The 12,723-nt window shown below is 34.4% G+C and overlaps 2 protein-coding genes across 7 annotated transcripts in view, besides 1 other annotated feature; one reads left to right on the forward strand and one right to left on the reverse strand.

The window, feature by feature from the left end:
• Positions 1 to 4,396, forward strand: part of RHOQ (ras homolog family member Q) — a 42,199-nt gene extending 37,803 nt beyond the window's left edge. For 2 of the 3 annotated variants that reach the window (NM_012249.4, XM_005264229.3), the window contains one exon: positions 636 to 4,396. In NM_012249.4, coding sequence (NP_036381.2) covers positions 636 to 791 — 156 coding nt within the window. In that variant the 3' untranslated portion in view covers positions 792 to 4,396. Of the gene's footprint in view, positions 1 to 316; positions 433 to 635 lie in introns of all 3 variants that reach the window. The other variant, XM_011532726.3, reaches the window with a different exon arrangement.
• Positions 645 to 12,723, reverse strand: part of PIGF (phosphatidylinositol glycan anchor biosynthesis class F) — a 36,105-nt gene continuing 24,026 nt past the window's right edge. The window contains exons 5-7 of one of the 4 annotated variants that reach the window (XM_011532908.4): positions 12,183 to 12,291; positions 7,783 to 7,834; positions 645 to 1,299 (exon numbers count right to left, since the gene is read on the reverse strand). In XM_011532908.4, the coding sequence (XP_011531210.1) occupies positions 1,214 to 1,299; positions 7,783 to 7,834; positions 12,183 to 12,291 (247 nt within the window). In that variant the 3' untranslated portion in view covers positions 645 to 1,213. Of the gene's footprint in view, positions 1,300 to 7,782; positions 7,888 to 10,854; positions 11,634 to 12,182; positions 12,292 to 12,723 lie in introns of those variants that run through there. The other 3 variants (NM_173074.3, NM_002643.4, XM_005264369.4) reach the window with 3 other exon arrangements.
• Positions 5,695 to 5,878: a silencer, noted in NCBI's record as "fragment chr2:46813126-46813309 (GRCh37/hg19 assembly coordinates)". NCBI's record gives its function as "represses an EF-1alpha promoter that drives an FKBP-Casp9 reporter gene in an ReSE screen in phorbol 12-myristate 13-acetate-treated (for megakaryocytic differentiation) K562 erythroleukemia cells {active_cell/tissue: K562(+PMA)}" and the evidence as "EXISTENCE:reporter gene assay evidence [ECO:0000049][PMID:32094911]".

A 12,723-nucleotide genomic window follows, 5' to 3' on the forward strand; every position in this document is an offset into this window, starting at 1 on the left:
GTTCCCTCTGCCTGGAATGTTCTTCCCTATGGACATGATTCATTCTTTCACTCTTTTCAGGTCTCTGCTCAAATACCACATCCTCAGTGTGATCTTGTTCCTTGACTGCTCCAGGCATGCTCCTGCATCAGGATCTATCTGCCTGGAGCTCTTCCCCTAGGTATCCCTCACTGCTCAAACTTCCCCATTGAGAAGCCTCCCCGGACCCCCACTACCATTGTCCTCAGCACTCCCCGCCTCCCTCACTCTGCTTTTTCCCCACAGCATTTGCAACCATCTGCTCTGTATTCCCTCCCCTGTGCCTCTTACCCAGCAGATGTCAGCACATGTGGACGCCACACAGCAGGGACTCTGCTCTTTCGTTCAGTTCACTGACATATCCCCAGGACCTAAACAGTGCTTGACATATAGTAGATACCCAGTAAATATGTGGTGAGTGAAATAATTTTTCATAGAAAGTCTGGAAGGACATATACTAGTATTTTAAAATCCCCTCTGGGGTTATGAACATGGATGATGAATGTATTCTTTTTGCATAGCTGTATTTTATAATTTTCTTTATAATGATGTGTTTATGTCATGCCAATTGTATAAACATGATCTTATATATTTGTGATTTTTTTTCTCCCTCCCAGATAGGAGCATGCTGCTATGTGGAATGTTCAGCTTTAACCCAGAAGGGATTGAAGACTGTTTTTGATGAGGCTATCATAGCCATTTTAACTCCAAAGAAACACACTGTAAAAAAAAGAATAGGATCAAGATGTATAAACTGTTGTTTAATTACGTGAGAAACATCTTCAGTGGCCAAGGAAACTGTCCATTTCTCTCAGAAAGCAAATGAAATGCTACAGCTATACCCAGACCTTTTATAGGTAATGAAGCAGTTCAAAACTTGAAAGAAAACAAAACCTGTCCTCAGAATTCTATAAAGTGTATTAAGAATGTTCCTTAAAGGTTTAAGAAGCAGTAAGCAGCATCTGAAGCCACAATCTATTATAAATACTTTATTTCAACTAGAAGGTACAATCTCTCAGGGGTTTCATAGTTTAAAAAGCTACAATCACATCATGTTGTAACTACGTAAAAAACAGAGCTGTAAATGGAACTGCTTGGCTTTGACCATACACATTTCTGCCCAGCCCTTACAGAATCTGCACAAAGAAATATCTCCCTTTGCTCCAGTTAATTGTTCTTGTATGTAAGTTGCTTTCTATTCCAGTATATCCAGAGTGGTGAAATAACAAGGCCAGCCACGTAGCCAAAGGTCGCTCCAAGCGTACAGGAGATGGGCCATACCTGAGGAGAGAATGTATGAGATCAAAAAAGAACAAATGTTTTATTATTACTTGAGCACAAGTGTAACCTAAATATTTCTATATTAAAGCTTAATGTGCTTTCTTAAAGAATGCCAAAAGTGTAATAAGGTCATAACTGCATTTATCATGAACACTAAAAATGTACACATTTTAGTTAATGTGCATTAAACTGTAACAAGGCTTCTGGCAATTGTAGATTTAGTTTGACGCTCCCCAAAGTGCATGAGACACATGCTAAAATTACAAATTAAAATTTTGGGTCAGACTTTGCCATAATGATAGACTCAATTTAGCTCTCTGAACTAGTTGGTAATTTTTTTTTTTTAATTCCCACTTTGGCTGTGTACATCAAATGAAATGAGAAGTGTGTATGCTGACCAAACCACAAGAAACTTTCTTTAAGTTGTGTTAAAGAGGAAAGACCTAGAATCCAAGCGTGTTACATGAAAATTGTAACAGAGCAGCTGCTTCCACCTTTCAGATATAGATGTTGGAACCACAGCAGAAGTTATAGAGCGACAACTTATATACACACCTAGAATGTAAGTTAAACAAAATACCGGCTTCCAGAGACCCCTTTTCTCCAGCCATATTACATCAGGCTAGAAGTAATTAATGTTGATTTATTTCATCTACAAGCAGTTGGTCCCTAAGTGAAAGGCTCTGCTTGAAAAAAAAAAGAAAAAAAAGTTGGAGGAAAATTTTCATGTTCTTCTGTGAAGCTTATTTGGTACACTGGAGCCATTTCTAATCTTTCTCTGGGGGGAACAGGCCACAGAACTGTGTTAGAGGTGAACCATCTTAATTACTAGTTCTATTACCTAATTCAGCTTCCTTGTTTGGTCTGCTGTGGATCTGCCTTATTGCATATGCCATGCATCAGATAATGGATGCATCAGATAATGGTGTTAGACAAAGCTTCATTGTGAACAACCTAATGCATTTTAGAGAAACAATCTCATCACATTTTTTCTAGCCTTTCCTACATTTAAACTTGCTGTTGCCCAAATTATAATTTTTTAAATGTCTTTGGTGGGCTTCTGTTAATTCACATGACTTGAGCTTATAGCTATGTCTACTGCACAGATTGGGTAATGGAACACTAAACTTTTATACTTGAAAATGACAGCCTTAAATGCTCATATCAGTCACAAATCTAGGATGTACTGTCTTGTTGTATGTGAGCTTTGTAGAGATTTTTAAAAATATAAGCATCACCTTCCCATTGAAGAGTGGAGAGAGTCTACTGGATGACTGGCCAGGAACTTTCTCTCTGAATCGGACATTTGGATGTCTTCTTTCTTCCAAGAAATGGTGGTTCACATTAAAGTATCATGGCCTTATGTATGCTCAAATGGAATCTTATGTAACTTTCTTATTTAATTTTGGTCTGCTTATTTTTAGATAAAATTGAAAGGAATTGTATAAATCAATTAACATATTAGCTGAGTTGTCCAACACATGGTATAAACGAATTACAACAGTAAACTATTACACATTTCCAACTTGCCTTTGGGGATTTATGAGGATTTTTTTTGGTGGGGGGAGGGGGCTCCAATTCATATCTCTGAAACCCTTCACACTTGGTTTACTAATTCAAAGTTAGAAGTCTAGAATTTGCCCTGCCCTAACAGAAACAGATTAGGAATTTGTCTACACAAACTGGTGTCACCTGTTTCTTGACTGGGATTTGGTTTCCTCATTATAAATATGGGAGGTAGAACAGAGATCTCCAACGTCTCTCCCATTTATCACAGTAATTTTCTTATTCACAGTAATCATTGTTGGATGTTACCTTTTCAGCTTCACATTCTCAAGATGGTAAAAATCATGTATATAGATTATCAGAACTCTAAGCAAAGATGACTGTCACATCTGAAGCTGAGGTGCCTTAGGTACTCTACTGACCTTGATGGGTTTGGAGTTCCCCATTGCTTATCAAGAGCTTTTTAATTGCTTTGGTTCTTTAGTTTTTCTTTTTGCAAAAATCCTTCCTGTCACTTTAACTAAAAACCAAAGATTTGTTTTCTATTGATAAGCAGACTAGAGAAAAACTGCCTTATTTTCAGAAGCATGTCTTCATTCAAAGCTTAGGCTTCAATAGAAATTCAGACTAATCACTGAAATGACTATTTCAAACTAGTGAAATATCTGGGAAATAAACTGCTTCAAAAATATTTTACTGACATGAATTTTGCTAGTGAATACAAATACACTGCCTCAAATAAGGCCATGTATGAATGAACTTACAAGATATTTGAGTTAATCAGTGTTTGCATATAGAGAATTAGTTCTAAAGTTCTTAAAAATAAATTTAGGGGCTCCCTGAAATTTTATTTAATACTTTGCTAACTTACACTCTTGTTTTATCTCCACAGGTACATTTTAGGTTAGCTCATGGTGAATTCTATTTACAATAAGTGGAGCTTGGATTAATGGGTTTTGTTATGAATTATCTTAGTGACTTTAGACACTGTTTCCATTTGATTTTTAACTATTTAAAATACCAAATTAAATACCAGTTTGTTGGTTGTTACTTTTAAATGATTGTTACTTTAACAGTGTCCCTTCTTAACACATGGGGTTACAAATAAAATACTATGCATAGTTTACTATCTACGTAAAGCACTGAACTTTTTACCTTAGTAGTTTTTATTTATTACCCTATGTAAACATTTAGGATAATACTCTTTCCTCTATTTATGCTGAGAGTCTACTAATCATTGGCAAAGTATGAGTCCCTATACTCTGTTAAAAAAAGCTCACTGTTAAAGTATAGGGAGAATAGTAATCCCTCATGAATCCCAGCTAGATTCCAATTTGGGTTACTAAATTGTATTTTAATCATTTTGTAATTTCAGTATGGCTCTTTGTTCTCAAACACATACATACCACCACGCACATTCTTTTAAACAGCTGCCACACCTCACCTCCAACAGAATGCCAAAAATGAAATGTTAAAAAATTTTGTCTAATGAAGGGTTACGGCTTGGAACACTTGGTTATTCATGTTATGTAAATCAAGAAGTGCATGCCATCAGCAAATTAAAATGTGGACTGGCTTTGAAGACTGTTAATGATGGGTCAGGCTTTGTACTTACAAGAGTACCTCCTTGGCTTTCCTGAAATAAGCATTTCTTAATCGTAACCCTGTCATTTTTTTAAAAGAGAATTTCTTTAAGGGCCGTTTTCATGATTTTTGAAGATCAAAATAGATTATCAAAATAGGGAACAGCAAAAGGAGGGAGGCTGCCCACTAAGAACTATTCCTCAAGCAAGTTTCCTACTGATTTTCTTATAATTATTCTAAAAATTTTTAAACTACACTATGGCAACAGAATTCATTTGTAAATCCTAGCTTAATCAGGTATTTTCATAATTAGATCCTAAGGTTTTCCTTTAAAACTATTTCCTTATCTCACATACAGACATGTTTCTATTCAACGTTCTTCATGCCACAAATAGGATTTTTTAAAAAAGTGATATCTATTAAATACATAATTCAGCTGCACTGCTATAAAGATTTCTCCAAATTATGGTAATCTGAGATGGCTTTATATAATTATTTTGTTTAAAGAAAATAGGAAACTTAGAACAAAGACATTCATGTAAAGGAAGTCATTCACAAGTGTTTGCCACCAAAATGACAAGGGCCCAAGCACTGGAGGCCAGCCTGGGCAAGATAGTGAGAGTTTTTTATAAATTTACATTTTTTTAGCCAGTAAATAGAAGAAACAACCTATGGTGTATAATCAAATATATTACAACTCAAGTGGGTAAAATTATTAAAATTACCAGGAAGAAGAAAAATCTAATTAAAAAATAAGTGGTACATCAGATGTTAAGTGACCTTAGCCAGCTCATTTTAACATCTGAGCCTCAGTTTCCCCTACAGAACAGGGACAGAAGTACCTACTATACTTAAAATGCAGGGCTGAAGTAATCTCTTAAAATTTGTCATGAAAGCTATAAAGTACCACGTACCAGTATTCTGTATATTACATGTTTTAACTTGAAAAAATTAAACTTACACAAACAGTATTTCTTTGGTCACTGACACTACTATGTAATAAGTAGAACCGGCAGTTTAGAACGAATAGTTCATGAGTAATATACTGTGTGGTAGGAAGTGGTAGGAACTATTCTTTACCCTTGCAAAGCAATCATCTTTTTTTTTTTTGAGACGGACTCTCGCTCTGTCGCCCAGGCTGGAGTGCAGTGGCACAATCTCGGCTCACTGCAAGCTCCGCCTCCCAGGTTCACGCTATTCTCCTGCCTCAGCCTCCCGAGTAGCTGGGACTACAGGTGCCTGCCACCACGTCCAGCTAATTTTTTTGTATTTTTAGTAGAGACAGGGTTTCAATGTGTTAGCCAGGATGGTCTCGATCTCCTGACCTCGTGATCCGTCTGCCTCAGCCTCCCAAAGTGCTGGGATTACAGGCGTGAGCCACCGCGCCCAGCCATAAAGCAATCATCTTTAATACATGCTGTTCTTCATGTGAAATGTCTGTTACAAGAGCAAATTCAGGAGCTGTACAACATACTGGCATTACGTTAACCATCTGTATCCTTACCTCAGAAGGTTACCCTGCTGCTAGCTGTCATTTTTCATAAATTCGAAGAAACAAAATTTTAAGTACAGATAGTGGTTTTAAACTAATCATTGGTAGGCATTTGTGTTAATTTTTAAAGGCTCATATGAATGACTCCATTCATTCGAAACTATTTGTGGAGCCCCTACCTTAACCCAGCAGTTAAAGGTGTAAACTAAGATTAAATTATTTAATTTTGGATACATTTTAGTATAAATTCTTAAAAATGTGTTCCAATATAATAAATATTACTTATAATTTTGGGGGAGATTTACACTGTCACAGATAACATGGAGAAACTGACCTATCTGCAAATCAGAACACCTACAGACATTTAGAACAACTCACAACCATTAGGATTACTGTCTCTCTCGAGATAAAAAGGAAGATAAAATCCAGTTCTCAATCTCTCATGAGCTACTTTTCAATATGTTTGTTTTGTTAATTGTGCTTATCACAAATTTGCATTTGCATGACTGAGAGAGTTCATCTTTCAAAGCCTGCTGACCTACTGGTTATAAATAATCATTTATATTCTCCTCCAAAATTGGTCTTGAACAGTATGTTTTTCCAGATATTCCTAAAGTAAATGTTATTGTCTGATACAGGAATACATGCACAAATGAATCTACTCATTGGGATACATTTCTCTAGTTAAAAATCTACACTCATCCATGTATACACTCTCCTGTGACTAAGAATACTACTTTAGGAAGAGTTATTTGCGAAGGGGTGTGTAGTTCCTGGTCTGGAATTCTTGTCAAAATGACACTAAAAGGTTCTGGTCACAACTCGTGCAAACGAGTTAACTTGGCCAGCATTATTCTCTCTAACATGAAAGTCCTGTTAGCAGAGCATTATCAACATGATTACCCTACGATGAACACGCCTTTTCAATCCAAAACCATTTCATGCCAGTTCAATGTTAACACATTTTTCTCATGCTTGAAACATACAAACCATATTCATATAAATGAGTATTTTATTTTGGTCTAAAACACAGTATCATCCCTTTGGTAATGGAAATACCAATTAACGTAAAAACCTGCAGCTCTTCAATCAATCAAATCCATAATCTTAGTTTTAATCTCCCTCCAGCATTTTGCAGTAATTCATGTAGTTATAATCCTATGATTCCTAGTTTCAACTTATGAAAGAATTATCTGTGGCATCTGTGACTTTAGGAAATGAATATACATATTTCACAAATACTAGATTTCTAACGTGGTAAAACTGAAAAAAAAAAACCCAAAAAATTTTTAAATACAACAATGCCTCATTTATCTGGTGTCTGTTGAGAATAAGTACAAATATTTTAAAACAACTTTAAATTGTTTCAAAGACGATCTCAGGTGTCTAAAATTCAAAATCTCCAAATTCAGTTATTTAAAATACTTTATATCAATTTTCCTTTTTACCTTCGTAAGAAATAAGCATCCTAGCCGAGACTTGATTATTTGGTTCAAATATTTTTAAAGATTGTAGCACTGAAGTCCATAGTTTAAAGGCATGTGTGGATTTGTTAGGGACAAAATCATTGCATATTAGCTTTAAATATTCTCCTACAAATAAATTACGGCCTAAAATACAGACACCACCACAACGGTCAAGGCATGTAATGAAAACAATGTGGGGAAAGAAATGAAATATAATAAGTAATTTAGCTATTCCAAAGAGACCTAAGCTATGACCATTTTTTAAAAAGAAAAGCTATGTTTTAGTTTCCAGCAATGAAAAGAATCATGGTGTAGTGGGGCTCTCATGTGAATCTTAAGTCTCCCTCTTCCCACCTGAGTAATGCTAAGCAAGATGTGTACTCCTCCCCTCTCACACTTGGACTTTCTAGTGTATAAAATGGGAGTAAAACCTACCTTGCACTACGGTTGTCAGGATTAAGTTACTCATTTCACAGTACCAAGCCCCCTGCAGGGTACATGGAGAGATCTATAAGTGCTACGTTTTCTTTCTACTGTCATCTGAAATGTCAGACAGGATTGAAAATTATGTGAAATCCAAATACCCTAAATTGGCATAACTAAATACCAGAGAAATAGATAAATTAACAGTCCACTCTACCAACTGAAAGACTGCTGGGCAGAAAAAATAAAACAACAAACTGAGACAATTAACATATTCTCTAATATATGAGAACTCAAATAAATCATGGAATTTGCATTTTTTGAAGGCTAAAAATATAGTCATTAAACTATGTCTTTTCTAGGTCACAAATGCCTGTAACATTAATTAAGTAATAACCATGTGTCAGGTGCTGAGCTAGGTATTTTAGAGGGATTTTATTATTTCATCCTCACTAGCAAGTGACAAAGCCAGGATTTCAACCCAGTAATCTGATGCCAGAACTCCTAATCATCATGTTACCTGCCTACCCATTAATAAAACGTGAGTTTAAAAACCTCATGGTCAATTTCCTGTGCTCAGAATAACCAACAATATTTCTTAACCTTCCACTAATTTTTTATAACATGAAATACTAGCCATGTTTTGACAAGACATTTTCCAGATGAAAAACCTCATAGCTACATATTCTATGAAATAGTTACAGCATATTAAATCTAAATCACAGTTCAAATCTAAATTATTAAATAATTAAATTCCAGTCCTGGGTGTATTTAAGTATCTGTTGTACTTACTTACACAGAACATATGCTATGCATACAGTAATAACAACAAATACTTATTGATTAGCTATTTAGTTACAGCAGATAAAGAATCAAATTATAAAATACAAAGGTTTTCTGTAGTCCAAATATTTATTTTGTCAGCAACTATAAGCTTTCTCTAGAAGTTGAAAAAGCCTATCTGGATTATGGGAAATTCAAATATTTGTTTTCTTGCTGAGATTTTAAGGCAAATAAGGTAGAGGCAAGAAGATGACTTTAAAGTATTAAAACAACAACAAAGATGACCAACAGTATAATGGGTAGCTACCCTACCATATTCTCTTTAACCATATCCCCTTGCTGCCTTCTACAAAAGAAAGGCTTCCTCCAACTATAAAGATGCCTAATCTTTCATCACTTGCCATTATTTAAAATCACTTAAGATTTATATTAAGTTAAAAAACTTTTACATTGAGATCACATATTTTCAGTGGGCCTTTCCAGTCATTTAATGAAGAAATTATTTTAAACATAAAAATATGCTTGAAACAGCTCATTACAGAATCCACATCACTATAATCTTATGCTTGGCCTCAGGAATGTTATACAATGGTTTGAGTTCAAAGTAAAGAAAACTGAATTAAAACATGTAGTAGATTTTGTGGGGTTTTGTGTGTGTGTGTGCATGTGTGTGTTTTTAAAGGTACAATTGCTTAACCAGATATTCCTGTTTCTCTGACTGGAATATAAATAAAACCAGAACACAATCCAGAAAAGCTTGCTTTACCACAAGCAGATCAAATCGGTATTGGGCTACAAGGAACACAGAACAAGAATCTCTTAATACATGTTCTATTTTAGATAATAAAGTGTATACTGTATTGTCTTCTCATGAAATTTTGCTCTAACAACATCTCCACTTTTAGAAAATGCCATATTCCCTTATCTGATTTATTGCTTCTCTGGGAGATGCTGTTCTGTGGAGTTAGAATTATTAAAAAATAACAATAACAAAAAAACAAACAACCTTGTTTGCTGGAAATAAAAAGTGAAAAAAAAACCTCATTTCTTTAGTTTATTAGTAAATAACTGCTAAAAGGGCAAGGAGCAGATGAGTGCTATATGAATAAAAGATTTTTAATTATACATCAATTCTATCATTCCCTCAACAATACATTTCATAATTTAAAAGGTTTACAGTGAATACGTGGGTCATTAACTTGGAATATTCTAAAAACAACCCAATAGTAAAGATAATTACATGGCCAGTAATATTCCAGCTGAATGAAACACTCTTAATGGAAACCAACACTTGTTATGTATTTAAATTAGATTTAAAATTAAATTAATTTCCAGCTACCTAGAAAATCTTTTTAAAAAGTCAGTAATTCAAATGGAAACTTTACATTAATTTAAAAAGTAATACCATCAATTTGGATCTAGTTCATCCTTATTGTTAACAAGCACTGAGGGAGAAAAATGGGTCATCAGCTAAAAGCCTGAACAATCCCAAAATGGGTGACTGAACTGTAAATAATTAAGATATATATTTTCTAAGCAAACCTAAACACATATTTTATAAAGCACATATATTCATTCCTCTTAGTTCAGTTTCTACTACTGCACTGTCTTGTAAACAGAAAAGACTTAAATTATGTGTAATATATCAAACCTTTACACTCTAATGTATTGCATCATATACAAAATGATTATTATATCTTACCAACTCATTAAAGCTAATGTCCCATAGTACTTTATTTATCAATACTTTCTATTTAGATTTAATTGCATTACTTGATAGCAATGAATCTACACAGTTTCAATTTTCTGTGTATACTTTTCAATGATTTTGATTGTCCTCCAATTTAGAAATCACTGACACTCTGTTGAATGACATCAAGTATGGATGACTTCTATAAGATGTCAACTTAAGAAACCTTTACTAGCACCAAAAACTTGAGATGGGAATCTGTGACGATACACACACCAAACCTCCAAGGATTTCTCTAATATAGTGATGAAGAGTTAAAACAGGGAAGGGCAAACCTATCAGACCTATTAAACATGAAACAACAATTTGACTTTCGGGGAGACACGACATCTAACTGAAAGCACAAAGAATAGAGCTAAATGTAGGCAGTTATGTGCAAGGCACACAATCTGGATCCCACATTTGGCAAATGAGGTATGTATCAAAGATTTAATTCATCAATTCATTAGGTAGGACTCTACCCTACAGAGAAAATTGGACAAATATGCAAAGATGTATAAGTATGATAATGACCATATTTGATAATAAAATAATAATAGTAAAATAGGAAATGACCTAAATGTTCTTTAATAAAAAACTGGTACAATATTTTACACAAATAATCGAATATTACATATATGTAAGTTTTCATTGACATAGAATGAGCTCCATAATATACTGCTGAGGGGAAAAAGCAGATTAAAAACAACATGAATATTATAGTTACAGGCATGGAGAGAGACAGCTGCAAAAATTATCACCAAAAGCAAATGGAGGTTTCCTCTGGGTGGTTGGGGAGGAAAGTAATTTTTACTTTCTTCCTTAGAATTACTAATATTGCTTTAATTTTCTAAATAAATATACATTATCTTCGTGATCAGAAAAAAATTATCTTCATGTTGGAAAAAGAAAGCACATTTATTTTTTAATACCATAATTCTTTTTGGGAGTAATTACTCTGTGAACCTAATTAGAAAAATTCAAGAAGCTATAGATTCAAAGATTTTATCACAGCAGTGTTTATTATCACAAAATACTGGCAATAATCTAAATGATCAATAGTGAATTTGTTAAATAAGTTATAAAGTATATAATGGCATACTACAAAGTCATTAATATTAAGATAAAGATACAGTCATCACTGTAAGTTCAGTGACCTTGGGAATGTTACATACCCTCTAGGTGTCAGTTTCCTCATCTGTAAAATGGGTATAAAAAGAGCACTTACCTCACAGTGCTTTACCTAGCATATCAGCTTTATCTTATTGTGATACAAGACGAAAAATCTGATGTTTGTGAGCTTTCTTGATAACACAGGCCGCTGCTGCAAAAATTACCTTGCTATCTGCTTCTAAAAATTTCAAGAGGAACATTCAATTTGGCCATCAATCAAGTTCAGAAAATATGAATATAAGACCACAAGGGCAATAAATATCAAAGTTGAAAATAGGAAATTTCTGCAGCTATTAACCTAGTTTTTAAAAATTCCTATACTGGCTGGGCTCGGTGGCACACACCTGTAGTCCCAGCCACTTGGGAGGCTGAAGCAGGAAGATCGTTTAGGCCCAAGCATTAGAGGACAGCCTGGGCAAGAGAGTGAGAACCTGTCTTTTTTAAAAACAATAAACAAACCGCCTATATACAATCACAAAATAAGCTTGTTTATTCATCTACACATGTGCAAAAAATAGTGCTAGAAGATAAAACCAGGGCTACCTAGACACCTGTGGCACTGGACAGTCCCCATTAAGAAGCTGCCCAGATTACAGTGACTGATAGAAGTGGTATCCCTACTTAATTGAACAACAAAACAATTTACATATACACACTAGTTTGCTTCATCTGTTTTACTATCATTGTACAAACATTTATTTTGTTGCTTTAAGTAACTGAAACCAACCTGCCATGGTCTTTCCCAATCCAGTGGAATAGGAAGTGCTCCAAGCCATGCTCCTACAAAGCTAGAAATTGTAGTGATCTGGAGACTATTCTCCCATATGGATGTAACTCTGTGAAACACAAATTGGTACATCGTTGGTGGTATATACATGAGCTGCTGGAGAATCCAACAAGCACTAGCACACATTATCAGTATACATATATTTCCTGCTAATTTAAAATGAAAATCTCAAAATGACATATACATATTTACCATGAACTATTAATAGTTAATTGGTAAGAAGATGTAAATGTTTTCCATTGGAAAGGTAATATACAGACGCACTAGGAGTCAAACCATGTTAAAGAGCATTTGTAGAAACAGCTAAGTCTTCCACCCCTATCATCAACTCCTGGTTCCTTTCCCCACAGGCAACTGCTATTATGCTAAATTATTACATATTCTTCCAGAAATATTTTATACAGGCACAAATACACACATAATTTTGTTTTGAAGGATATATGTACATTTGCATAAATACACATGTACATATGTATATTTC

The sequence above is a fragment of the Homo sapiens genome, chromosome 2 (genome assembly GCF_000001405.40).
Source record: "Homo sapiens chromosome 2, GRCh38.p14 Primary Assembly".
Lineage (NCBI taxonomy): Eukaryota > Metazoa > Chordata > Mammalia > Primates > Hominidae > Homo > Homo sapiens.